General features: G+C 35.9%; 1 long non-coding RNA gene across 1 annotated transcript in view; it reads right to left on the bottom strand.

Moving 5' to 3' along the window:
* Positions 1–26,572, bottom strand: part of LINC02725 (long intergenic non-protein coding RNA 2725) — an 87,798-nt gene that overhangs the window by 55,830 nt on the left and 5,396 nt on the right. The window contains exon 2 of the long non-coding RNA NR_183639.1: positions 26,343–26,485. This is a non-coding gene — a long non-coding RNA (long intergenic non-protein coding RNA 2725). The remainder of the gene's footprint in view (positions 1–26,342; positions 26,486–26,572) is intronic.

Here is a 26,572-nt window from a genome sequence, read left to right as displayed (position 1 = left end):
TCTATCCGTGCACTAATACTGCACTGATTTGATTCCTTCATAATAGGACTTAATATTTCTTAGTAAGTCCTCCAGCTTTATTTTTTATTATTCTTGGCCCTTTACAGTTTGAAATATTTGCAGATATCAGCTTGTCAATTTGCAGACGTACAGCCACATGCACGCACAGCTGCTTGCCTGCTTAGATTTTAATTGGGATGACATTGAATATAGTTTGTGAAGAATTGACATTTTTCCTGTATTGAGCCTTCTGATCCATGAGCATAATATAAACTGTCATTTACTTAGGACTTATTTATCTCAATAGAGTTTTGTTGTTTCCAGTGTAGATTTCCTTGCCCTTCTTTCTTTAAGTTTATTCACGAAGGTTTGATAGCTTTAGTGCTAGTATAAATGGTATCATTTCAAATTTTGTTTTTTGTTTCCAATTTATAGAAATGTTTTTTGTTTTGTTTTGATTTTGTATACAGTTTTCTTGTTAAGTGCATTTACCAATGCTAACACATCTTTTATATTCTATTTGATTGTTCTTACATATGCAATCATGCTGTCTATGAAAAATAACCTTACTTCCTGTCCAGTAATTTTGGCTTTTTCTTCTTCATTGCGTTAACTTCTGACACAGTTTTGAATAAAAGTGGTGTTAGCATAAATCTAGTCTCATTATTTTGTTTGAGAAGGAAAACTTACAATTTTTCATTATTAAATTATGAAGTTTTAAAAATTCTCAGCTTAAGACAGCCTTATGCCAAGTTTACGAAGAGTTTTTTCATTATGAATTGGTTTTAATTTTGTCAACTGATTGTGCTGAGTCTAATATATTAAGATTATAATGTGATTTTTTTTCTTTTTTTGTCAATGTGGAGAATTACATTAACTGATTTTCAAATGTTAAATTCTCTCACATTCTCAAAATAAATCTCAGTTTTTTGGACTGAATTATCCTTTTTCCTGTATTGTTAGATTTGATTTGCTAAATATTTAAAGAGTTTTTCCATCTGTGTTTAGGAGAAAACTTGGTCTATAATTTTCTATTCTTGCTATGTCCTTGTCAAGTTTTGGAATCAGGCCTTATATAAGAAATTGGGAAATGCTTATGCTTTCTACTTTCCAGTAGACTGTGTAGGATTGGAATATTTCCAATTCACCAATAAAGCTACTTATTTCTAGTTCTCCTTTGTCAGCTTTGTAAATTGTATTTTTAAAACAATTTGTTTATTTCATCCAAATTACCTAATTTATCAGTATGCAATTATTTATAAAATCCCCTAATTATTTTTTAATGTTTATAAGATCTGTAGTTCTGTCCCCTTTTCATTCCTAATGTTATAATCTGGGGACTCCATGCATATTAGTCATGTTTTCCAAATAGAATCAATAGGATATAGATACACAGACAGAGAAATGTAAGAGGGGATGCACTCTTGCGTTCATGGAGGGTAAGAACTCCTATGATAAACCTCCTTCAAGCTGGAGTCCCTGGGCTGCTGGTAGCATGGCTCAGTCCAAGTCTGAGGGCCTCAGAACCTGGGAGGTTTAGGTGTAATTCCCTGCTCAAGGCCTAAGGCCTGAGAATCTGGAAGCCTGTCAGCACAAATCCAGGAGTCCAAAGGCTGTGGAGCCTGAAGTCTTTGTCCAAGTATAGGCGAGAAAGAGTGTATCCCAGTTTTGGCAAATAGATTGACTCACCTACCTTTGTTTTCTCTGGACTCCTCACGGATTGGATGGTGCCTGCCCACATGGAGGGTGAATCTTCTTCACCTAGTTCACTCAGACTCACATGATAATCTCCTCTGGAAACACCCACAGAGACACATCCAAAAATAACACTTTATCAGGTGTTAGCTATTCCTTAATCCAGTCAAGTTGGCACTTAAAATTACCCTTCGCTCACACTTTCTTAACCCATCTTGTATAATATCAGTCCTTGGGCACAAAGTTTCTTTACTCTTGTTGTGCCTGTTAGGTTTTGTTGTCAAGATTTTGGTGGCCATATAAAATGAGTTGGGGAGTAATCACTTTTTATTACTGCAATGTCTATATGCAATGAAAATAGGATTTTAAAAAATATTTTGCAGAACTTTCTTGCAAAATTACCTCAGCATGTGATTTTTATGGTGGAAAGGTATAAAGTTACGTAAACATTTATTACTTAAATAGAAATAGGCAATTTAGATTTTTTTGTTAGTTTTATTTAGTTATATTTTCTAATTTTTTTCACATTTGTTGGCACAAGGTTTTTCATAATAATCATCTTATTATATCTTCAATGTCTATACTATTTGTAGTTATGTCTCTTTTTCATTTTAATGATGATTATTTGTAATTGTTAGTTTTGCTCAGTCTCACTGCAAATTTGGTTAAACAGTTACAGCTATTTCATACAATCAACTTTTAGATCTGCTGATCTTTATATCTGTGTATTCTATTTCATTAATTTCTGCTTTTTTCCGCATTCCTTCTCTTCGCGTCTGAACTTACCTTCTTTATCTTTACCAAGCCTATTTTGCCATGAAGATATTTACTCTGATAGCAATATAATTGCATCACCTTTATTTGATTGAAATAGGCCTACAATATTTGTGCCATACTTTTATTTTTGACTTTGGATCCTTATGTTTTTGAGGCATTTCTTATGAATATGTAGCAAGATTTTAAAAATCGAAAGTGGTAATGTTTTTTACTTGAAACATTTACTGCATTTACATTTACTACAAGTATTTATAGATTAGCATATTTATATATAACATTTGTTATGTATCCTGTATTCGTTCCACCTTTCTGTGTTTCTCTCCTCTTATTTCTTGTCCTCTTTTATTAATTAGGTACTTTTTCCTCATCATAATTTTTCCTATACTACTTTTGAAATTATGCACTTTATTATTAATGGGTACTCTGGCAATTATAACATGCAAATAGCAGTAGCCTTATCCTCACCCATAAGAACCTTTGCTTTTTTTAAATAACTTTATTGAGATATAATTCATGTATTATACAATTAGCCATTTAAAGAGCACAATTCAACGTTGTGTAGCATACTCACAGGGTTATGCAGCCATCACCACATCTAGTTATTGAAACATTTTTGCTCCCCCTAAAGGAAACCACTTACCCTTTAGCGTTTATCTATCTCCCACTCCTCAACATCCTCCCGGACCCTATGTAACCACTAACCTTCCCTCTGTTATTACAAATTTGCCTATTCCGGCCATTTCATATAAATGGAATCATACAATATGTGGTCTTTTGTGTCTGACCTCTTTTACTTAGCATGTTTTCAAGGTTCATTGATATTGTAGAATGTATCAGTACTTCATTTTAATGGCAGAATGAGAGTCTATTACATGGATATTTCACATTTTACTTATCCATTTATTGGTTAATGGACATTTGTGTTGTTCAACTCTTTGGCCATTGCAATGGTTAATACTGAGTGTCAACTTGATTGGATTGAAGGATGCAAAGTATTGTTCTGAATGTGTCTGTAGGGGTGTTGCCAAAGGAGTTTAACATTTGAGTCAGTGGACTGGGAGAGGCAGACCCACCCTCGATCTGGGTTGGCACCATCTAATCAGCTGCCAGCATGGCTAAAATAAAGCAAGCAGAAGGTGGAAAGACAGACTTGCTGTGTCTTGCAGCCTTCATCCTTCTCCCATGCTGAATGTTTCCTGCCCTCGAACATCAGACTCCAAGTCCTTCAGCTTTTGGACTCTTGGACTTACACCAGTGGTTTGCCAGGGGCTCTTGGGCCTTCTGCCACAGACTGAAGGCTGCACTGTTTGCTTCCCTGCTTTTGAGGTTTTGGGACTCGGACTGGTTTCCTTGCTCCTCAGTTGCAGATGGACTATCGTGGGACTTCACCTTGTGATCATGTGAGTCAATACTGCTTAACAAAGTCCCCTTCATATATGTATCTATCCTATTAGTTCTGTTCTTCTAGAGAATGCTTACTAATACAGCTATTGTTAATAACGTTGCTATGAACATTCATATACAAGTATTTGTGTGGACGTATGCTTTTTTTTTTTTTTTTGATATATATATGCCTAGGAGTGGAATTGCCATGGCATGTGGTAACTATATGTTCAATATTTTTAGGAAATGCTTCAAACTGTTTTCAAAAAGACTGCACCATATTACACCCCACCAGCAGCGTATAAGCATTCCAATTTCTTCAAACCCTTGTCTATAATTGTTGTTTGTTTGTTTTTTGATGATAGCCATCCTAGTGGGTACGAATGTATCTCACTGAAGTTTTGACTTGCGTTTTTTTAAATGTCTAAAGATGTTGAGAACTTTGTTATGTATTTATTGCTCACTTGTCTATCTACTTTTAAGAAATGTCTATTCAGGTACTTTCTTCATTTTAAAATTTTGTTTGTGTCTTTATTACTGAGTTGTAATTTGTAATTTGTTATATATTTTGAATAAAAGTCCTCTATTGAACACATGATTTGTATATAGTTTCTCCTAATCTGTGCTTAGAATTTTTATTCTCTTGTTGGTATCATTTGTAGCTCATAATATTATAATTTTTATATCTCACAATTTACTTATTTTTTCTTTCATCACTTGTGCTTTTGGTGTCATACATAAGAAATCACTTCCTAATCAAAGACCACAAGGATTTATTTACATTTTTTTCTAAGAGTTTTATAGCTTTAGCTGTTATGTTTAGGTCTATGCTCATTTTTGAGTTAATTTTTGTGTATGGTGTGAGATAGGGATCTAACATAATTCTTTTGTATATGGACATCCAGTTGTTCCAGCACCAGTGGTTGAAAGGCTATTTTTTCCCCTCATTGAAATGTGTCTTCATTCTTGTTTTAAAAATCAATTGACCAAAAATTCAAGGTTTATTTCTAAACTCTCATTTCCATTTCATTGATTTATCCTCATGCCAGTAGCACAGTGTCTAGATTACTGTAGCTTTGTGGTAAATTTGGAAATTAAAAAATGTGAGTCTTACAATTTTGTTTTTTTCCAAGATTATTTGGCTATTCGAGTCCCTTGCATTTTCTTATGCATTTTAGGATCATGTTGTCAATTTCTTCAAAAAACCAGCTGAGATTTAAATAGCGATTGTGTTGAACCTATAAATTAATTTGGGGAGTATTGCCATATCAATAGTGTCGAGTCTTACAATCCATGTGGTTACATTTCTTTCAACAACGTTGTATAGTATTCAGTATAAAAGTCTTGAACTTACTTTGTTAAAATTATACCTATGTATCGTATTATTTTAAAATATATAAATAATATTTTTAAATGGAATTGTTTTCTTATTATGTTCAGAATGGTCATTGTTTATAAAATACAATTTTTGATGTTTTGTAATGAACATTTTATCAGTGTTAATAGCTTTTTAGTGGATTTTTTAGGATTTTCCATATATAGGATCATGTCATCTGCAAAAAGAGCAGTTTTATTTTTTCCACTCTAGAGCACTGCCCTCCCCCTAATTTTACTGGTTATAATCTCCAGTAATATGTTTTAAAAAGTGGCTATAGTGGATATTCTTACCTTCCTCTGATCTTAGAGGAAAAGCATTCAATCTTTCCCTAAGAAACATATTTTTTGTTTTTTTGGGTTTTTTTTTGTTTTTTTTATGAATGCCTGTCATTGGGTTGAGAATATTCTCTTTTATTCCTAGTTTGTTGAGAGTTTTTTTTTTTTTCCCCAAATCAGGAAAGAGATTGTATTTTGTTAAATAATTTACTGCTCCTTTTGAAATGATCATGTGCTTATTGTACTTTCTTTTATTAACTTGGTATATTACATTAATTGATTTGTTATTATGTTAAACTAACCTTACACTAAGATAAAGCCCACTTGGTCATGGTGGATAATTCCTTTCATATGTTTCTGAATTTGGTTTGTTAGTATTTTGTTAATGATTTTTGTGTCCATAGTCATAAGATGCATTGGCCTGTAGTTTTCTTGGGACGTTTTTGTCTGGTTTTGTTATCAGAGTAATTGTGGCCTCAGAATGATTTGAGAATTGTCTCTTCCTGTTATAATATTTAGAAAAGTTTGTGAAGGATTGGTATTAATTCTTTTTCGAGTGTTTTTCAAAATTCACCATTGCGGTCATCTTGGCCTTAGCTTTTCCTTGTAAGAGGCTTTTAAATTAATAATATAATCTATTCAAATTTTCTATTTACTCTTGAGTCAGTTTCTGTAATTTATGTCTATCTAGGAATTTTTCCATAATATCTACATTTTCTAAATTATTGGCAGGTGTTTACATTATTCCCTTATAATTCTTTTAATTTTTGTAAAGTCAATAGTGATAACCCCTCTTCCACTCTTGGTCCTAGTAGGTGAAGCCTTCTCTCATTTTCTTGGTCAGTCTACCTAGCGGTCTGTAGATTTTGTTAATCTTTTCAAAGAATTAGTTTTGGTTTTGTTGATTTTTCTCTATTGTTTCTCTAGTTTCTTTTAAATTTATTAACACTGTAGCCCAAATTATTTTCTTTCTTGGGTTCACTTTGGACTTACTTGAAGTCTTCTTTTTCTAGTTTCATAAAGTGGAAGGTTGGCCTATTGACTTGATACATTTTACTTTTTAATATAGCAATTTCTTGCCATATTAGTAGTGCATTATATGCATTCCATAAGGTTTGGTATATTGTACTTTAAGACATTTTGAATTTTTTATGATTTATTCATTGGTTATAGAGAAATGCGTTGTTTCCACATACTTGTGAATATGCCAAACTTTCTCTGATATTGATTTTTAATTTTATGTTATTATGGTTAGAGAATATACTTGGTATGAGTTTAATCTTTTGGAATTTGTGGAAACTTGCTTTATGAAGTTGCCTGTGGTCTCTCCTGGAAAATGTTTCATATGTGCTTGAGAAGAATATGTACTCTGCTGATCTAGGTAGAGTGTTCTATAGATGTTTGTTAGGTCTATTTGGTTTAAAGTGCTATAGTATTATTAAAGGTTCTGTTTCTTTGCTGATTTTCTGACTAGTTGTTCTATGCATTATTGAAAGTGGAATATTGAACCTTACTTTTTACATTATGGCCCCAATAATATAATTATATACATATTTTTCTATGCAGTTTGTTTTTAAATGACTCAAGGAGAGCAACATGTCAGGAAAATGAAGAAAAAAATTCATTTATAATAGCGTCAAAAAGAATAAAATACTTAGAAATAAACTTAACCATGGCAAAAGACTTGAACACTGAAAAGTACAAAACATTGCTGAAAAATGAAAGAAGACATAAATGGAAAGACATGCTGTGTTCATAAATTAGAACACTTAAGACTATTAAGCTGCTGATACTACATAAACATAGAACAAAGTTTCATGACACTGAATTTGACAAATATTTTTTGACAATGACACTAAAAGCACTGACAACAATCGCAACAAAAATACACAAATTAGCCTTTATCAAACTTAAAAACTTTTGTGCCCAAAAGGACACTATCAATATAGAGAAAGGCAAGTCAGTGAATGAAAGAAGATATTTGCAAGTCATATATTGGATAAGGGGGCTAATATTTGAATATATAAAGAGTTCTTGCAACTTAATGACAACCTAATTTTAAAATGAGCAAAGAACTTGAATAGGACAGGCATGGTGGCTCATGCCTGTAATCCCAGCAGTTTGGGAGGCTGAGGCAGGCAGATCACTTGAGGTCAGGAGTTCTGGCCAACATGGTGAAACATCGTCTCTACTAAAAATACAAACAAAAATTAGCCCGGTGTGGTGGTGGGCACCTGTAATCCTCAGCTACTCCAGAGGCTGAGGCGGGAGGATCACTTGAACCCAGAAGCTGGAGGTTGCAGTGAGCCAAGATTATGCCACTGTACTCCAGCCTGGGTGACAGAGGGAGACTGTCTCAAAACAAAACAAAACAAACAAACAAAAAAACTTGAATAGATATTTCCCTGAACAAGATATACAAATGGCTAAAAGCACATGACAAGATACCTAATGTCACTAATCATTAGGGAAATGCAAATCAAAGCCACACTGAATTGTCATTTCAAACTCATTAGGATAGCTAGTATAAAAACAGAAAATAACAAGTATTGCTGAAGATGTGAAGAAGTTAGAACCTTGCGCGTTGCTGGAGAGAAAGTAAAATGGTACAGCTACCATGAAAGACAGTGTAACAGCTTCTCAAAGCACTAAGTATATAATTACCATATGATAAAATTGCACTCCTGGATGTATACCAAAGGAATTGAAATTAGGGATTCCAAGAGGTATTTGTACATGAATGTTTATAGCAATAGTATTCATAATCGCAAAAAGATGGAAACAAATTAATGTTCATCAGTGGATGAATCAATGAACACATTGTGGTATATACACAAAAGGGACTATTACTCATCCTAAAAAAGGAAAGTAATTACGATATTGCTACAATATAGATGAACCTTGAAGACATTATGCTAAGGGAAACAACCTAGGCACAAAAAGACAGATATTGTATGATTCTATTTACGTGACTTACCTAGAATAAACAAGTTCATAGTGAAATAAAGTAGAATAGTGGTTACCTGGGCCTGGGAAATAGGGAAATAGGGAATTAATGTTTAAAGAACACAGAAATTTAGTTTGAAATACATAAAAATTTTTGGAGATGGATAGCGGTAATGGTTGTACAACAATGTGAATGTACTTCATTTCTCTGTGCATTTAAAAATTGTTAAAATAATAAACTTTATGTTATGTGTATTTCTTCACAATTTTAAAAAGAAGTATATCATTATATTTTGTAACTGCCTACCTAATTACCTTTATTAGTATCTTTCTTAAAAATGTTCATTTGAATTATTGTCTGATTTACCTGCTTTCAGCTTGAAGAACATTCTTTTACTTTTTTTTTTCTGCAAAGTAGTAAACTCTATGAGGTTTTATAGAATGCCTTTTTATTTAACCTTCATCTTTGAAAGACACTTTGGCTGTATTTAAGATTTTGGTTGACAGATAATTGTCTTTTGTGTTTGTTTTCATTTCCAGCACTTTGAATATGTCTTCTCATTGCTTTCTTTTATTTTTAACATTCATTTTAAGTTCAGGGATACATGTGGAGGTTTGTTACAGAGGTAAACTTGTGTCGTAGGGGTTCGTTGTACAGATTATTTCATCACCCAGGTATTAAGCCTAGTACCCATTAGTTATTTTTCCTGATCGTCTCCCTCCTCCCACCCTCCACCCTCCACCCTCCAATAGGCTCCAGTGTGTGTTGCTCCCCTCTGTGTATGCATGTGTCCTCATCATTTAGCTCCCACTTATAAGTGAGAACATGCAGTATTTGGTTTTTTGTTCCTATGCTAGTTTGCTAACGATAATGGCCTCCCACTCCATCCATCTTCCTGCAAAGGACATTATCTTGTTCTTTTTTTACGGCTGCATGGTATTCCATGGTGTATATGTACCACATTTTCTTTATTCAGTCTATCATTGATGGGCGCTTAGGTTGATTCCATATTTGCTATTGTATCACTGCTTTCTGACTTCAGTTGCTTTCAATGGGAACTCAGCTGTCAATCCTATGGGAGTTTTCCTGTACGATGGGTAATTTTACCTCGATGCCTTCAATACTTTCTGATTTCATTCAACATTTTTACTATGATGTGTCTGTGTATGGATCTCTTTGCATTTATCCTGCTTGGACTTTGTATAACTTCTTGGATGTGTACGTTAATTTTTAAATCAAATTTGGGATGTTTTCAGCCATTATTTCTTCAAATATTTTCCCTAGAACTTTATTTGTCTTCATATTTTTTTCCTCTCCCTTCTTCAAATTGCATAATATTGCATTGATCTATCTTGCACTTTGCTGATTCTTCTGAGAATCTTTGTAGATTCTCCAACCTACTATTAGCCTCTCTAGTGAATTTTTCATTTTGGTTGTTATGCTTGCAATGTCACTAACTTAATTTTTAAAAAATAATTTCTATTTGATGAGATATTATTATCATACCGTCATTTTTTAAATCATGGTCCTCTTTTGTTCTTTGGACAAATTTATAATGGTTGCTTGGGCTGTTTGCCAGTTAAGTCCACCCTCTCAGCCACTTCTAAGTCATGGGTTTGGGTCAAAAAAATTTTTTTTTCCTGTGTGTGGGTAACACTTTTCTTTTTCTTGCAGGTATTATAGTATTTTTGTGGTAAACTGCCTATTTTAGATAATCTATTGTAGCAACTCTGAATACTGATTCTCCCTCTCCCTCAGGAGTGGTTGTTGTTTTGTTGTCTATTGTTTTGTGACTTGGCTGAACTAATTCTACAATGTTCATTTCCCCCAGAGTGCGCAGCCTCAGATGACCCTCCTCAGCGTTTCCTCCCTTGGCTTTATCTTTAAGCAAGGTTTTATCTTTTTGTCTAGAAGTGTCCCCTAGGATGGCATAAGCCACTTATTTATCAAAGGTTCTGCTTCAATCTCGTTAGCCAGTGAGAGCTTTATCCTACACCATTGGATATATGTGTGGCCTTGAGGCTGCTATTACAGTTCAGAGAGTTTACATTTCCTTGCTCCACATTTTCTCAGGGACTAGTTGCTTGAAGGTTTTTTCTCTGATTGCTCCTACGGGACACATTATTAAGCACGCACACGGTCTTACAGATCTCCAGGGATGAGCAGGATTTTATTTTTAAGCTTGGCTTCCTGCCAGTCAGTGTTTGGTCAGAGGTTGCGTTTAAGATCTATGTGCTAGTGACGCCTCCGCCCTATGTTGATGGGTCTGTGTGCACCTTCGGAAATGCTTTCAAATCTGCCCTGCTCTGATTACTCCCTTGTAGATGCAGCCAACAGCTTGCACTCAGCCATTAAGACCCTAGTGCTGATGGTGATTCTAGGAAGGATCTTCCTGGCTGTCTCTATTAAATTTATGGCTGCTCTACTGTTTTGCTTGTATTATGAAGCTGCCAGCCTCCTCTTAATTGGTCTCCATGAATATTTCCATGATTTGCAACAATGCACTTAGTGTGGAATTCTCCACACTCAGTTCCTAATCAAGTCTGTCCCTCTCTGCCCTGCCAAACCTCCGCCGCCCAAGCAGAACTCTTTCTCCACTATACTGGAGCTGTGGGAGGGAACTGCTTTTCTTGGAAATAAAACCCCTTTTTTGAGTGGGCGTCGGGGGTGGCTAAGAGCCTCTTTTCTTTTCAACTTTCTTCTCCTGGCATTAAGCTTTCATCCTACAAGCCAGCTGTAGGGGAAAGCAACTAGGACCTCAGTATTCTTAGCTTGAAATGCCTGAAGTAGATCTTCCACTCTAAGAGTAGGGGCTGGGTGGGGAAAAGGAGAAAAGTCCTCTCAGCCATGACTGCCTGGAACAGGGCTTCTGGAACGTATCTGGAAAATCTATATTCCCAGACTATAATCTGAGGGGAGAGGGAGTTTCTGTCTTGTTGGCATCACCTACCCAGAATAGAGTGCCCAAGTTAAAGCTTCTATAACACAAAAAAGGGTGTGAGGGGTAGGGGAGAAGGATGCAGCTCAAATACCATAGACTCTCATTATTCTAATAAATACGAAGTAGGTTTTCTTAAATAAATATTTCCCTGTTTGCTGTATGCCCTTAGACGATTTCCAGATATTTAAATAATTTTTATTTTTTATTTTTATGTATTTATTTTTTAGATGGAGTTTTGCTCCTGTTGCCCAGGCTGGAGTGCAATGGCACGATCTTAGCTCACTGCAACCTCCGCCTCCTGGGTTCAAGTGATTCTCCTGCCTCAGCCTCCCAAGTAGCTAGGATTACAGGCATGCACCACCACACCCAGCTAATTTTGTATTTTTAGTAGAGATGGGGTTTCACCATGTTGGTCAGGCCGGTCTCGAACTCCTGACCTCAGGTGATCCACCCGCCTTGGCTTCCAAAAGTGCTGGGATTACAGGTGTGAGCCACTGCACAAGGCTGATTTTTATTTTTTAAGATATTTTAGTTTTTATTTTGTAGGTGTGTATATTTCTCTGGTGTTACCTCAATTACCCATCTTTGCAGAAATCTTTCATTAAAACACACAGGCTCAAAATAAAGGGATGAAGGAATATTTACCAAGCAAATGGAAAGCAAAAAAAATGCAGGGGTTGTAATACTAGTCTCTAATAAAACAGATTTTAAATCAACAAAGATAAAAAAAAAAAGACAAAGACGGGTATTACATAATGGTAAAGGGATCAAAGCAACAAGAAGAGCTAACTATCCTAAATATATATGCACCCAATACAGAAGCACCCAGATTCATAAAGCAAGTTCTTAGAGACCTACAAAGAGACTTAGACTTCCACACAATAATAGTAGGAGACTTTAACACCAGATATATGAATGATTTTTTTTTTAAATTTCCAGTTAAATTGTTTTGCTTGGAGAGGGTCTGTAGAGCTCTTTATTCTGCCATTCCTGAAATCCTGCCCACTCCTCTTCGTTTATTTTTAGCTTTATTCATCAGTCTTGATTGATATGCTATTGTAATATATTTAAATTCCATTTTTAAAAATCCCAAAGACATATTTCTAATTGATTGTCATTATATTTATCCATGTATTTATCATTTTTTTCTTTTGCTGTGCTTTCCTTCTTATATCTCAAACTCTTCATCTGACGTACTTTACTTCTACCTGAACTGTGTCTTTTGGAATTATCTTTAGTTGTGTCTGCTGATGTGGTGACAGAGTGAGACTCCGTCTCAAAAAATAAATAAATAAATAAATAAATAAATGAGTTAAGCTGAAAATGAAGCACACTGATGAATGAAACTGAGAGAGAAAAAGAAATTATCCAAAATCCTCTAATAGTAAACAGAGAAATTGAAGTAAACAGAGAAATTGAAGTAAACAGAGTGAAAAAGACCTTGTAATTAGTCTGAGAAAGTCTAATCAAACACGAAGAATGAGAAGAATTTCATTCTTCTCCAACAAAATGGGTTGGAGACAATATGCGAAGAGCTATCAGCTGAGAATTTTCCAAAACCAATGAATGGCACAAAACAATAGTTTCAGGATGCCAAATGAGCTCAAATCAGGATAAATAGAAAGAAATACAAAACTAGAGATTTTATAGTAAAATCACAGCACTCTGAAGACAAAGAAAAACAGAAAAGTAGCCAGAGAGATAAGACAGTTGAAAATGGATTGCTCAGCAGTAACAATGAAAGCCAGAAAATGGGAATAGTATTTTCAACGTGAAAAGAGATAGTAACCACCATCCTATAATCTGGACCTAGTGAAAATATATTTCAAGAAAAATAGAGTGAATAAAATCTGAAAGTGTTTGCACAGTGGCTCACACCTGTAATCCCAGCACTTTGGGAGGCCAAGGCGGGTGGATCATCTGAGGTCAGGAGTTTGAGACCAGCCTGGCCAACATGGTGAAACCCCGTCTCTACTAAAAATACAAAAAATTAGCCAGGTGTGGTAGCGGGCGCCTGTAATCCCAGAGACTTGGGAAGCTGAGGCAGGGGAATCGCTTGAACCCAGGAGGCAGAGGTTGCAGTGAGCCGAGATCGTGCCATTGCATTCCAGCCTTGGCAACAAGAGCAAAACTCCATCTCAAAAAAAAGAAAAAAAAATTCTTTCCAAAATTTCAGTAGGTTTCTTTAACTCTTTCTCAGTCATTTATATATTTCTTCTTACCTTCATATATTATAAACCATATATTTTTATGTCTTCGAACATATTAAACATAGTCTTTGTCTCTCTCTTTCTCTCTTTCTCTTTCTCTTTTATGTGATTTCAAGATTTTCCATTTTCCATTACTGTTCTTCCAGTTATGCCTATAAGTAGATATCCCTCTTTTTAAAAATTTATTGACTATATGAATCTTACATTTTTGTATACATATTTGTAAAATTCTCAGCTGTTATCTCCTCAAATGACGACTTTCATTCTCTCTATGTCTCATTCTGGGGCATAGTTTAAATTTGCTAAACCTCTTTATTTTATCCTCTACATCTTCTTACTTCTTTCTCATTTCTATGTATTTTATTTTTCTGTATTCATTTATCTGGATCTATATTGTAGTTTACTAACTCTTTGTAACTATTACTTTTATTTAATCCTTCTATTTTTTCCTAAGTTAATATATTTGTTATATAAACATAATAAATATAAATTAATATAGATATAATTCTAATGTAAACTTAATAATTCTATTGGTTGTTTTTTTCAAATCTAAGGATTTTTTAAATTATTATACTTTAAGTTCTAGGATACATGTGCACAATGTGCAGGTTTGTTACATAGGTATACATGTGCCATGTTGGTGTGCTGCACCCATCAACTTGTCATTTACATTAGGTATTTCTCATAGTGCTATCCCTCCCCCAGCCCCCCACCTGCCGACAGGCCCTAGTGTGTGATGTTCCCCACCCTGTGTCCATGTGTTCTCATTGTTCAATTCCCACCTATGAGTGAGAACATGCGGTGTTTGGTTTTCTGTCCTTGTGATAGTTTGCTGAGAATGATGGTTTCCAGCTTTATCCATGTCCCTGCAAAGGACATGAACTCATTCTTTTTTATGGCTGCATAGTATTCCACAGTGTATATGTGCCACATTTTTTTTTTTTTTTGAGACGGAGTCTAGCTCTGTCGCCCAGCCTGGAGTGCAGTGGCATAATCTCGGCTCACTGCAAGCTCTGTCTCCCAGGTTCACGCCATTCTCCTGCCTCAGCCTCCCGAGTAGCTGGGACTACAGGCACCCGCCACCATGCCCAGCTAATTTTTTGTATTTTTTTAGTAGAGACAGGGTTTCACTGTGTTAGCCAGGATGGTCTTGATCTCCTGACCTTGTGGTCCGCCCACCTCGGCCTCCCAAAGTGCTGGGATTACAGGTGTGAGCCACTGTGCCCGGCCATGTGCCACATTTTCTTAATCCAGTCTATCACTGATGGACATTTGGGTTGGTTCCAAGTCTTTGCTATTGTGAACAGTGCCACAATAAACATACATGTGCATATGTTTTTATAGTAGAATGATTTATAATCCTTTGGGTATATACCCAGTAATGGGATTGCTGGGTCAAATGGTATTTCTAGTTCTAGATCCTTGAGGAATCGCCACACTGTCTTCCACAATGGTTGAACTAATTTACACTCCCACCAATAGTATAAAAGCATCCCCATTTCCCCACATCTTCTCCAGCATCTGTTGTTTCCTGACTTTTTAATGATCACCATTCTAACTGGCATGAGATGGTGTCTCATTGTGGTTTTGATTTGCGTTTCTCTAATGACGAGTGATGATGAGGTTTTTTTCATGTGTCTGTTGGCTGCATAAATGTCTTCTTTTGAGAAGTGTCTGTTCATATCCTTTGCCCACTTTTTGATGGGGCTGTTTTTTTCTTGTAAATGTGTTTAAGTTCTTTGTAGATTCTGGATATTAGCCCTTTGTCAGATGGGTAGATTGCAAAAATTTTCTTGCATTATGTAGGTTGCCTGTTCTCTCTGTTGGTAGTTTCTTTTGCTGTGCAGAAGCTCTTTAGTTTAATTAGATTCCATTTGTCTATTTTGGCTTTTGTTGCCATTGCTTTTGGTGTTTTAGTCGTGAAGTCTTTGCCCATGCCTATGTCCTGAATTGTATTGCCTGGGTTTTCTTCTAGGGTTCTTGTGGTTTTAGGTCTTACATTTAAGTCTTTAATCCATCTTGAATCTTGAGTTAATTTTTGTATAAGGTGTAAGGAAGGGATCCAGTTTCAGCTTTCTGCGTACTGCTAGCCAGTTTTCTCAGCACCATTTATTAAATAGGGAATCCTTTCCCCATTTCTTGTTTTTGTCAGGTTTGTCAAAGATCAGATGGTTGTAGATGTGTGGTGTTATTTGTGGGGCCTCTGTTTGGTTCCATTGGTCTATATATCTGTTTTGGTACCAGTACCATGCTATTTTGGTTACTGTAGCCTTGTAGTATAGTTTGAAGTCAGGTAGCGTGATGCCTCCAGCTTTGTTCTTTTTGCTTGGGATTGTCTTGGCAATGCAGGCTCTTTTTTGGTTCCATATGAAATTTAACATAGTGTTTTTCCAATTTTGTGAAGAAAGTCATTGGTATCTTGATGGGGATGGCATTGAATCTACAAATTACCTTGAGCAGTATGGCCTCATACTGCTCACGATATTGATTCTTCCTATCCATGAGCATGGAATGTTCTTCCATTTGTTTGTGTCCTCTTTTATTTCATTGAGCAGTGGTTTGTAGTTCTTCTTGAAAAGGTCCTTTACATCCTTTGTAAGTTGTATTACTAGGTATTTTATTCTCTTTGTAGCAATTGTGAAAGGGAGTTCACTCATGATTTGGCCCTCTGTCTATTATTAGTGTATAGCTATGGTTGTGATTCTTGCACTTTAATTTTGTATCCTGAGACTGCTGAAGTTGCTTATCAGCTTAAGGAGATTGTGGGCTGAGACGATGGGGTTTTCTAAATATACAATCATGTCATCTGCAAACAGGGATAATTTGACTTCCTCTTTTCCTAATTGAATACCCTTTATTTATTTCTCCTGTGTGATTGCCCTTGTCAGAACTTCCAACACTATGTTGAATAGGAGTGGTAAGAGAGGGCATCCTTGTCTTGTGCCGGTTTTCAGAGGGAATGCTTCCAGTTTTTGCCCATTCAGTATGATATTGGCTGTGGGTTTGTCATAAATAGCTCTCATTATTTTGAGATGTGTTCCATCAATACCTAGTTTACTGAGGGTTTTTAGCATGAAGGGCTGTTGAATTTTGTCAAAGGCCTTTTCTACATCTATTGAGATAATCATGTGGTTTTGTCATTGGTTCTATTTATGTGATGGATTACATTTATTGATTTGCATAAGTTGAACCAGACTCATATGCAAGAGATGAAGCCTACTTGATTGTGGTGGATAAGCTTTTGGATGTGCTGCTGGATTCGGTTTGCCAGTATATTATTGAGGATTTTCGCATCGATGTTCATCAGGGATATTGGCCTAAAATTCTCTTTTTTTGTTGTTGTTGTGTCTCTGCCAGGCTTTGGTATCAGGATGATGCTGGCCTCATAAAATGAGTTAGGGAAGATTCCCTCTTTTTCTATTGATTGGAATAGTTTCAGAAGGAATGGTACCAGCTCCACTTTGTACCTCTGGTAGAATTCAGCTGTGAATCTATCTGGTCCTGGACTTTTTTTGGTTGGTAGACTATTAATTATTGACTCAATTTCAGAGCCTGTTATTGGTCTATTCAGAGATTGAACTTCTTCCTGGTTTAGTCTTGGGAGGGTGTATGTGTCCAGGAATTTATCCATTTCCTCTAAGTTTTCTAGTTTATTTGTGTAGAGGTGTTTATAGTATTCTCTGATGCTAGTTTGTATTTCTGTGGGATCGGTGGTGATATCCCCTTTATCAATTTTTATTGTGTCTATTTGATTCTTCTCTCTTTTCTTTATTAGTCTTGCCAGTGGTTTATCAATTTTGTTGATCGTTTTAAAAAACCAGCTCCTGGATTCATTGATGTTTTTGAAGGGTTTTTTGTGTCTCTATCTCCTTCAGTTCTGCTCTGATCTTATTATTTCTTGCCTTCTGCCAGCTTTTGAATTTGTTTACTCTTGCTTCTCTGGTTCTTTTAATTGTGATGTTAGGGTGTTGATTTTAGATCTTTCCTGCTTTCTCTTGTAGGCATTTAGTGCTATAAATTTCCCTCTACATACTGCTTTAAATGTGTCCCAGAGATTCTTTTCTCATTGGTTTCAAAGAACATCTTTATTTCTGCCTTCATTTCGTTATGTACTCAGTAGTCATTCAGGAGGAGGTTGTTCAGTTTCCATGTAGTTGAGCGGTTTTGAGTGAGTTTCTTAATCCTGAGTTCTAATTTGATTGCACTGTGGTCTGAGGGACAGTTTGTGATTTCTGTTCTTTTACATTTGCTGAGGAGTGTTTTACTTCCAATTATGTGGTCAATTTTAGAATAAGTGCAATGTGGTGCTCAGAAGAATGTAAATTTTGTTGATTTTGGGTGGAGAGTTCTGTAGATGTCTATTAGGTCCGCTTGGTGCAGAGCTGAGTTCAAGTCCTGGATATCCTTGTTAAACTCTGTCTCGTTGATCTGTCTAATATTGACAGCGGGGTGTTAAAGTCTCCCATTATTATTGTGTGGGAGTCTAAGTCTCTTTGTAGGTCTCTAAGGACTTACTTTATGAATCTGGGTGCTCCTGTGTTGGGTGCACATATATTTAGGATAGTTAGCTCTTCATGTTGAATTGATCCCTTTACCATTATGTAATGGCCTTCTTTGTGTCTTTTGATCTTTTTGGTTTAAAGTCTGTTTTATCAAAGACTAGGATTGCAACCTTTGCGTTTTTTTTTTTTGTTTGTTTGTTTTTTTTTTTTTTTTGTTTTTTGTTTTGCTTTCCATTTGCTTGGTAGATCTTCCTCCATCCCTTCATTTTGAGCCTATATGTGTCTCTGCATGTGAGATGGGACTCCTGAATATAGCACACTGATGGGTCTTGACTCTTTATCCAATTTGCCAGTCTGTGTCTTTTAATTGGGACATTTAGCCCATTTACATTTAAGGTTAATATTGTTATGTGTGAATTTGATCCTGTCATAATGATGTTCACTGGTTATTTTGCCCATTAATTGATGCAGTTTCTTCATAGCATCGATGGTCTTTACAATTTGGCATGTTTTTGCAGTGGCTGGTACCAGTTATTCCTTTCCTTGTTTAGCGCTTCCTTCAGGAGCTCTTGTAAGGCAGGCCTGGTGGTAACAAAATCTCTCAGCATTTGCTTGTCTGTAAAGGATTTTATTTCTCCTGCAGTTATGAAGCTTAGTTTGGCTGGATATGAAATTCTGGGTTGAAAATTCTTTTCTTTAAGAACGTTGAATATTGGCCCCCAGTCTCTTCTGGCTTGTAGGGTTTCTGCCGAGAGATCCGCTGTTAGTCTGATGGGCTTCCCTTTGTGGGTAACCAGACCTTTCTCTGTGGCTGCCCTTAACATTTTTTCCTTCTTTTCAACCTTGGTGAATCTGACAATCATGTGACTTGGGGTTGCTCCTCTTGAGGAGTATCTTTGTGGTTTTCTCTGTATTTCCTGAATTTGTTGACCTGCCTTGCTAGGTTGGGGAAGTTCTCCTGGATAATATCCTGCAGAGTGTTTTCCAACTTGGTTCCATTCTCCCCGTCACTTTCAGGTTTGATTGTTTCACAATCAAACATAGATTTGGTCTTTTCACATAGTCTCATATTTCTTGAAGGCTTTGTTCATTTCTTTTACTCTTTTTTTCTCTAATCTTGTCTTCTTGCTTTATTTCATTAATTTGATTTTCAATCACTGATCTGATATCCTTTCTTCCACTTGATCAAATCAGCTATTAAAGCTTGTGCATGCGTCACGAAGTTCTCGTGCTGTGGTTTTCACCTCCATCAGGTCATTTAAGGTCTTCTTTACACTGTTTATTCTAGTTAGCCATTAGTCTAACCTTTTTTCAAGGTTTTTAGCTTCCTTGTGATGGGTTAGAACATGCTCTTTTACCTCAGAAAAGTGTGTTATTACCGACCTTCTGAAGCGTACTGTCAACTCATCATAGTCATTCTCCATCCAATTTTGTTCTGTTGCTGAGAGGAGCTGTGATCCTTTGGAGGTGAAGAGACGCTCTAGTTTTTGGAATTTTCAGCTTTTCTTCTCTGGTTTCTCCCTATCTTTGTGGTTTTACCTACCTTTGGTCTTTGATGTTGGTGACCTACAGATGAGGTTTTTGTGTGGATGTCCTTTTTGTTGATGTTGATGCTATTCCTTTCTATTTCTTAGTTTTCCTTCTAACAGGCCCCTCAGCTGCAGGTCTGTTGGAGTTTGCTGGAAGTCCACTCCAGACCCTGTTTGCCTGGGTATCACCAGCAGAGGCTGGAGAACAGCAACTATTGCAGAACAGCAAATTTTTTTTTCTAAGTTAATATATTTGTTATATAAACATAATAAATATAAATTAATACAGGTGTAATTTTAATGTAAACCTAATAATTCTATTGGTTGTTTTTGTTTTCAAATCTGATTTTTAAAATTTGATTATCATTTTATTTTGTATTGAATTTATTTAGACATTTTATACATTTTATATTCTATATCTGATAATTGAAAATCTTAAGTTCTTGAGAGTCTAACTTGACTATTTTATTTGAATTGGCTATTTTTTTTAGCCAACCATTCATGTTGTTTTGTGTCCTTGCATACATAACAATTGATGAGTAGTAGCTCAAAATTTGGCATCCTAAGAGCTCAAATTTTGAACAGTTTACTCTAGAGACAGTTATTTGCATCAAACAAGAGCTGCGGAATGCTATTTGGACTTACTTTGGTTTATATATTATTGTATGCAGAACTAATACAAAAGTATTATGACCCCATTCCCCTCTCTTAGAGAGACAAAAAGAACTACTTTTTTCCTTTGGTGTGAATATTGACGTTTACTCATAAGTCAATTTTTGACTTTGCATTTGCTTATTAGTTTCAATATTTGTTGTGGTGGTAGTGATGGTGGTGGTTGGTTGATCATTTTGTTTTGTTTTGTTACTTTTGGATATTACCGTTATAGGGTTGAGAGACCAACATTTTATTTGAAAAGTTTGTTTATGATAATTTATCTGGGTTCTAGTGTTATTTTTATAGAAAGATTCCTTTGAGTTTCTAATCTGTACAGATTAATTTAAATATCTATATTAACATACACTTTAAGATGCTCAGCTTTCACAATCTTATTTTATAACTTGATTAAATATTATTTGATAAATTTTCATTTTCTATAATTTTTATCTGTACTTCTAAACTTACCTTTGTTGAGACATAACTATTAAGTAATAAATACCATAAAACCAAATTGCATAAAACCAACAATTTCTACTCATTATAGTCCGTATAATTACCTTGTGACATACATTGGCTAAAAAGACCTATTTACATTTAGTAATGAGTAGACACTATCTATCTTATTATGCTTAAATATGTTTGTACAATATCTGTTACTAATACTTGAGCTTGAATAAGCTAATGAAAAGCAGCAGAGTCTGCTGTAATTAAAGAGTATTTTATATTCCAGTAAGGCAGGTCAGGGTCAAAATATTTTGATGTTGACTAGGTGTATTATCTTGGGCTTTAGTTATCTTTGTTTGTAAAATGGAAATAATAATGAGATTTATCTTGCATAATTCATGTCAGGATCAAATGATAGAATGCATTTAATAATGCGAAATGTCTACCAAAATACTTGACATATAGTAAGTGTTAGTTGTGTGGTTATATCTCTGATTATCAACAGTCCAGGAATGGGAAACAGTATAGGTAAGTTTTAAAGGAAATGGGGTTTGGAAAGTTAAGTCCAGAAGCCTTCAGGGAGGAGAGTCAGACCACACTGATAAGCGAGGGGCTGAGGATGTGGGTGGCACAGAAAGGGTAACTTCACCAATTCCACAATTTTTCCATGTCTAGTCTAGAAAAAAAGGAATCCCTTAAGGCCTAGAGTTCCTTGGGAAGTGTCTTCATGCAGAAACAGAACTTGGATAACCTTCTTCAAGTGTGAGGTTAAATAATATGACTGGGTTAGGTCCACATCTCAACATTACTTGGTTGATACTGCCTCATACTCATTTCTGCCACTCCAGTTTCCTGAAACATGACCCTAAGAAGGAGTCACCATAAACTCTCATTTCAAGACAGAATGGTAGGTGGCCATATATGTGAAAATATGTTTTCACAAGGGGGAAATAGCAACAAAAAGAAAACATGCAGAAAGACTCAGAACTACCTTGGAGTGTGTGAATGTGATTATGTGTGTGTGTGCTGACAAACCTTCTTCATTTGGCCAATCTTTAATCACGCTCCCGAACCTTGTTCTAGGCCCATCTGTACACTTCCTTATAAAACCCAGTTTTAGCAAAGAAAGAACTTTGCTGTGTCAGTTTAGCAAGAATCCTCTACCTTTAACATTTACCACTCTTGATACCTGATTAGCAGGGCCCTCATCCTCCCCCATCCCCCAGGTGATGTCTGATCACTCTGGCCTGCCTTCAGCAAGAATCCTGTTAGGTTGGTTTGGCCAGAATCTCCCCTACCCCTAATGTTTCCTGTTAGTATTTTTGTTATCTAATGACCCTCATCCTGTTCCTTGGCTATACATTCCCATGCCTAATCTTTCTACCCCATGGCAAAATCTCATTGCCATGGTCTCCATGCCTATGATGTTGGTCCTGAATAAAGTCTGCCTTCCTGTGCTTTAACAAGTATCATTGAAAAGCTTTAATAGTGTGTGTGTGTGAGGAAAGGAATCAGAGATGCTTCTACATATGACCAAACTACCAAGAAAGGCATGCAAATGATTATCACCATAAACCAAAGAAAATGACCGAGTTGTGTCTCAAGTCAATTTAGAGGTTTGTTTTGCCCAGGTTGAGGACATGCCTGGAGGAGAAAAACACAAATCACAGGCAGCATCTGTGATCCATGTCTTTTGAAAACAGCATTTTGAGCACTTCACTATTTAAAGGTAAAGAGTAGGCAGGAGGGGAAGGAGGGAAGGGAAAAAAAAAGGGAGTGTAGGTAGTGATAAAAGTAGTCACATTCTTGTGAGACTTTGATTAGCGCTCACTGAACCCACATTACATGTAAAAGGAGCAGGTAGAGGAACAGTCAATTATGGATTAATGCATGCTCAGTAAATCTACATTTTACATAAGATAAAGTCAACAGAGTAGAGGAATAAGTCAAATATGTATTTATCTTGGGGTGGGCAGAGGAATAATTTCTAGTCTTGTCTATATCCAGTGCCTGTGAAAATAAGCTGTTAATTTACATTGTCAGGGTGAAGGAGGAGAGATACGTATGTGTCCTTCTATCTTGTTTAGGAACAAAAGGAGAGCCAATTTTTTGTGTGAATCTGTGTCCAAGCTGAACTTTTGGCTTTGGCATAGTTAGTTTGGGGTCCTGAGATTTTATTTGCTTTCATTTCGCAAAGTCAGAATAGTGGCTATTTCTAGGGGGAAGAGAGTAGAAAGGATTAAAGGGCAGGAGAATGGAGTTATTTTAGTTGCATTATTTTTATCTTTGTTGAGTTATAAGGCTATTCACTTATAATAGTTGGTAGAACAGTGTGTAAATGTTTTAGTGACATTTCTGTACTACCTAATAATTCTCAGTTTTAGAAGTGAAAAACAGTAAATAAAATGTTACAGTTTAAAAATATGTAACAGCTGCGTTTATTTTGTAAAACTATGTTACATAGCTAGCAGTTCTTAGCTGTTCTCATTGTGATGATACTCCTTAGGATGATCTGTGAGGTTTCTGATCCCCTGTGGGTTTATCCTCGTTAACTTTTATACTTTGAGGTTGGTTCCTCCTGCTTTCAGATGCTGGCAGCAATGCCTGACTTTAACCCATCAGATTATTAAGAGGATGATATTCACAATCTTTCTTATACCCATCAACAAACCAATCAATACAAGCTAATTATTCATTAGTGTAAATACAAACACTATGTATTGATAATCAATTCTGTTGGTACTGCCTCTGTCAGCTTGCGCCAAAGTACTGCAGTGGGAAAGCTCAGTTGTGTTAAGTCTGCTTCAAAGGGAGCTTGACCTCACCAGTGAATCTAGAAATGATCTATCGTTAGAAATAGGGAGTCGCTACATTCACTAAGTACAATTTGCCTATCCCTCACACACATGAAGACTGTCCTCTCTATTCCCATTTTGCTCTAGTTTCTATCTTTGCTGTTTACTTCAAGGATCAAAGCCTACGGCTGGGATTTTGACAAAGTGCCCCTCTTATGGAGTGTTTTCTTTGCATATGGAGTGGTCTCTAACAGCTTTTTTTTTTTTTTTTTTTAGCCGTGCTTCAGGACTTGGTCCCTTCTCTCTGTCACTCTCTCCACTTATGCACAAGATACCATCCACTCTTTCCTCCCGAAAAAATTTCATCCCAAGTTAAAAGTATACTTTTTCCGTTCCCTTGGATAATTCCACCAGCACACAGGGTAATAGTTTCCATCTTAAACACAAAAAGATCCCCTCTTAATCCCTGTACAGCTTCACAACCTCTCACTTCCACCTCATTTCTCTTCCCACTTCACACCAAACAAACTTCAAATGATTTGTCCATAGTCATTGTCATCACCTTGAAATGCTTTCCCTTCCAACCCATCTGAATCAAGATTTTTTCCAACCACTGCATTGAAACCATTTTTGTCAAAGTCACGAAAGACATTCATCTCACTAAATCCAGTCAACCATTCTCTCTTCATCTTACTCAATTTTCATACAGCATTTGACATGAGACTACCCCATCCTCCAAGCACTTTCTTCATTTGACTTTAGAACAACCCACTCCCCGGTTTTTTCTCTTACCTGGTTGCTTATTTCTTCCAGTTCTTCTTTGCTGAATCCCCTTCTCTCTCTGACTTCTAAATGCTGGCATCCCCTGAGATCAGTCCTTACCCTGCTGTTCTTTAGCTACATTTTTGCTTTCACCCAGCAACCTTATTTTAAATATTAATTATCTATGTGGTGATGTCTCCCAGAAATATAGCTTTATCCCTAAACTCTTATAAATTCAAACTTGAAAATTTACTTGCCTACTTGACAGTTTTACTTGGCTGTCAAGTACATTAAACTCATGTAACAAAAACAAAACTTACAAAACTTTTATTTTTTTCTTTCTAAACTTGCTTCTTTCTCTATTGTTTCTAAATGAATAAGTATTATCATCATTCACCCAATGATTCAGGCCAAAAGCTTTCATTCTCTAAATCTAATCCTTCAGCAAGTTCTGTCAGTTCTGTCTTCAAAATGTATTCTGAATCCAGGACCTTCTCTGCACCTGCACAGCTGTATCTCTAGCCCAGCCTGCTGCAGCCTCTCACCTGGTCTCTGACCAGGCTACACCTATCTCACTCAGTCCTATCTGGTCTACCTGACACTGCTTTTGACTTCCCACAGACCCTTTTTCACACAGCAGACATAATTATCCTTTATAAATAAATATGATATCAAGTTTCCTGCATAACATTCTCCAATGACTTTTCTTTGTATCTTAAATACAAACTCCTGACTGAGGGCCTAGAAGATACTATGTGACCTGCCCCTCACCTATACGTCCAATCACTCTCTCTGTTTATTATGTTCTAGCTGTATTCGCTTGCTTGCTTCTTCTTGCGTGTCCCAAACCTATTCCCATTCCACAGCCTTTACACTTGCTGTTCCTTGCCTGGTATACTCAACCCAAATTGCCCGGTGACTAGATTCTCATCCTTCAGAATTCTCTCCAGATTCTTTCTTCCAACTTATTTAACTCTAGTTCCTCATGCTATGATTTTCTGTATTACCTTGCTTCGTACTGTAATTCATCTCTATCACCATCTGAAATTATATATAGTCAAACTATTTTTAATGGACTGTCATCTTCTTTAGAATATAAGCTTCAAGAGCATTATGCAACATGCAGAATTAAAATGATTTCTTCTCACAGGACTCCTGATAACTCTAAAGTGGTCATTTAAATCTTTAAGATGTGAGTCCCAAAGCCCTCTTGCTCTGGGGAGAACAGTTTCCTTCACCTTAGTGCTATTCAGATAGAAATTGGCCACGATATTAACCTCTGACTGTTATTTTTGAATAGCACAATGGAGTGAGATGAGCTGGGTCTAAACTCTCCCCAGGACAAATATTTTTCAACCCAATGAAAGATTTATATTTTTATTTATTTTGATGTGCAGTGAAATATCTTTCTCCCTTACCTTACTTCTTGAAAAAGAATGAAGCACTGTTGCTTTGAAAAGTTGACAGACTATTCTAATCAGTCATCCTCAGGTTTGGATTTGAAGGTAAATTGGTCAAGAGTAAAGGTCCAGAACATGTTTCCTGAAGCTACTATAAGTCAAACTCTAATCCTAACCACAGATAAATAAATGGTTTAAACCAAATAGCTCAGAGGTTAAATTGTACCCTGAAAAATATGCTTTGAGCTTCCAGGAGACTCAAAAAATATGAACCTTTTTCCAAGTTACTAAATCAAACACTTGGCCCACTGATTTTTAAAAAAGTAAAACCAGCATAAACTAAACTATATTACCCTTGTAATGGGACTGTGATAGGAAAAATTATAAGTATCTTCAAGAAAACTCTAGAACTTTAGATGCTACAGATAGTGCTGGTAAGCAAATAATACCTATTTCACAAGGCAAAAATCTTTCAAATTACATTCTATTAAAATTCATAATTTTGATTGCTCTGCTAAACTTTGCAGAGTTGGCTCTGGCTTAAATATTAAGAATTAGGAAAGGAGGTAACAGGAGAAGAAGCTAAAAGCCAAAGACATCCCGTTCTCATAATGTGTTGCTGGAAATGGCATTGCATTTAGTTTTACCTTGGGTTATATGGGGAAGTCCTTGTTATTACTGATCTCCACTTCATTTCAAATAGGGCAATTTTCAAATGGACTCTCTAAGTGTAGGTTTTCTGAAGTGATTCTTTTGTAACACTTTTATTTCTGGAGGCACTCTGCAAAACCTACAAAAAATTTTGAAAATTATTTCCTGCAAAAAATTTGAAAACAAAATCTATTTTACTTTTTTTCTTTTTGCCCTATAGCACAGA

This window comes from Homo sapiens, chromosome 11, assembly GCF_000001405.40.
Source record: "Homo sapiens chromosome 11, GRCh38.p14 Primary Assembly".
NCBI lineage: Eukaryota > Metazoa > Chordata > Mammalia > Primates > Hominidae > Homo > Homo sapiens.
The sequence above is the reverse complement of the archived record's forward strand: the minus strand, read 5'-3'. Positions and strand labels throughout refer to the sequence as shown.